The following is a 2,860-nucleotide window of genomic DNA, read 5'->3' on the forward strand; positions in this document are numbered from 1 at the left end:
AAGAATTTTTCCCCTGCATTCACAACTTGGCTGTTTGGTGCAAGGGGCCTAGCTTTTGGCCACTCTCAGCTTTTGACATGCTTTCATCACTAAGCTTAATCATTTCTAGCTTTTGATTTAACCTGGACTGACAGAGTATCTCATGCCTGTCATCCCAGCACTTCAGGAGGCCAAGGCAGAAGGATTGCTTGAGGCCAGGACACCCTTTCTCTACAAAAAACTTAAAAATTAGCCAGGCATGGTGGCATGCACCCTGCTACTCAGGAGGCTGAGGTCAGAGGATCACTTGAGCCCAGGAGATTGAGACTGCAGTGAGCTGCGATAGTGCCATTGCACTCCAGCCTGGATGGCAGAGAGAGACCTTGTCTCAAAAGAAAATTTAATAAAGACACATGCACACATGAGTATGTTCACTGCAGCACTATTGACAATAGCAAAGTCATGGAATCAACCTAAATGCCCATCAATGATAGACTGGATAAAGAAAATATGGTACATATACACCATGAAATATTACACAGCCATTAAAGAAGAATGAGATCATGTCCTGTGCAGGAACATGGATGGAGCTGAAGGCCGTTATCCTTAGCAAACTAACGCAGGAACAGAAAACCAAATACCACATGTTCTCACTCATAAGTGGTCACTAAATGATGAGAACACATGGACACACAGAAGGGAACAACACACACTAGGGCCTTTCCGAGGATGGAGAGTAGGAGGAGGGAGAGGATCCGGAAAAACAACTAATGTGTACTAGGCTTAATACCTGGGTGATGAAATGATCTGTACAGCAAACCCCCATGACACAGGTTTACCTGTGTAACAAACCTGCACATGCACCCCTAAACTTAAATAAAAGTTAAGAAGGCCGGGCGCAGTGGGGGCGCGGTGGCTCATGCCTGTAATCCCAGCACTTTGGGAGGCGGAGGTCAGGAGATCGAGACCATCCTGGTTAACGTGGTGAAACCCCACCTCTACTAAAAATACAAAAAAATTAGCTGGGCGTGGTGGCGGGCACCTGTAGTCCCAGCTACCCGGGAGGCTGAGGCAGAAGAATGGCGTGAACCCGGGAGGTGGAGCTTGCAGCGAGCTGAAATCGCGCCACTGCACTCCAGCCTGGGCAACAGAGCGAGACTCCCTCTCAAAAATAAATAAATGCATAAATAAATAAATATAAAATAAATAAAAGTTAAAAAGAAATAAATTTAATTTACATTTAAAAGAATAAAGTGAAAGACTGGGGGTTCTCCTTTTCACTCTTAGAATTATTAATTGGCCTAATTTCAATATTGCTGTGTCTCAGAGGCTGAAGGGCCAGAGGAGAGGTAGAGAGACAGGGAATGGCCGATAAATACACACAACATTTATCAATTAAGTTTGCTGTCTTATATGGGAGTGGTTCATGGTGCCCCAAAACAAGTACAATAATTAACACCAAAATCACCGATCACAGCTTACAATAACATAATAATAATGGAAAAGTTTGAAATATTGTGAAAATACCCAACATATATCACAGAGACACGAAGTAAGTGCATGCTGTTGGAAAAATGGCAGAGACTTGCTCGATGCAAAGTTGCCACAAACCCTCAATTTGTAAGAAAAACATAATATCTGCAAAGCACGATAAAGTGAGGCACAATACAACTGTACTCTCCAATTTTTCTAAAATGAACCTGCATTATTTTTGCAATAAAAAAGAAGTGTTGTATGGTTTGGTTTTGTTTTTTAACTTCCTGGTTTTAGGTGACACACCGGCCTTCTCACGCTTTAAGAGATGATCCAAATTGGATAAAGGCTGGAGAACCTAAGTGGCCACAAATTTGAAAGAGGTACTATTTATGACACCAAAATCATTTGCAAAGCAGGAGTGAGTCACTAACTCTTATTTGCAGCTTTAAAACACAAGGAGCAAAATATAAAGACAGTTTGAACCTGGAGGTAGGTGATGCGCAGCTGAAATTAATTTTCCACGGAGGTTTACTTATGCATTTCGTATCTTCACAGGTTCCCATTCACTGCAGAAGTGTAACCCCAAAACAATGAAATCAATCAGCACGGAAGCACTATCTTCAGCGTTCTGAATGCTGCCACTTGTACTTCAAGGCTCCTTGAATAAATAAACACTGGAAAGCTCATGGCTTTTTTCCCTTTTGTTTTAGTAATGGAAAGCCTTTACAGAGGATGGACTCAGATCGATTTGATGACAATGGCCACGACATTCAAGTGATTCCTATTTTACATGCAGTGCTAAACCTGAGTGCCTTTTTATCTTCCTGTTCACATGACAAAGCAGCCACTTATCAGTTACAACTGCAGCAGAAAAGGCTGGAAAGTCCTAGAGAGCCTGGGCTAATGGCACCTTTGGGGAAGCAATCTGGGGTCACTCCAGAGATTAACCCTTGAAATCTCAACAAAACCATGACCTGCCTCGAAGACTCTGGTTTCAACAAGTTACTCTCCCTCCACCTGTGAGGTGGTGTGATGAAGATTTATGTGATATGTTACTAGAAAAGGGAAAGTATAGCATTTTACATTGAGATAAGAAATGAAAAATGACCAAAAAACATAATTCTGGCCTAAGAATATATGTGACAGTGTCAGAGCCCAAGCAGTAAGGGAAAGAAGACTTCGGCCGGGCACGGTAGCTCACACCTGTAATCCCAGCACTTTGGGAGGTCAAGGTGGGTAGATCATCTGAGGTCAGGAGTTCGAGACCAGCCTAGCCAACATAGTGAAACCCCGCCTCTACAAAAAATACAAAAATTAGCCAGGCGTGGTGGCAGGTGCCTGTAATCCCTGCTACTCGGGAGGGTGAGGCAGGAGAATCACTTGAACCCGGGAGGCAGAGGCTGCA

General features: G+C 43.2%; 1 annotated feature.

Annotated features, from left to right (window-relative positions):
* Nucleotides 1,789-2,631: an enhancer, noted in NCBI's record as "OCT4-NANOG hESC enhancer chr7:68813985-68814827 (GRCh37/hg19 assembly coordinates)". NCBI's record gives its function as "activates a minimal SCP1, AML or CMV promoter by ChIP-STARR-seq in naive and primed H9 embryonic stem cells {active_cell/tissue: H9 hESC(naive and primed)}" and the evidence as "EXISTENCE:reporter gene assay evidence [ECO:0000049][PMID:30033119]".

The sequence above is a fragment of the Homo sapiens genome, chromosome 7 (genome assembly GCF_000001405.40).
Source record: "Homo sapiens chromosome 7, GRCh38.p14 Primary Assembly".
NCBI lineage: Eukaryota > Metazoa > Chordata > Mammalia > Primates > Hominidae > Homo > Homo sapiens.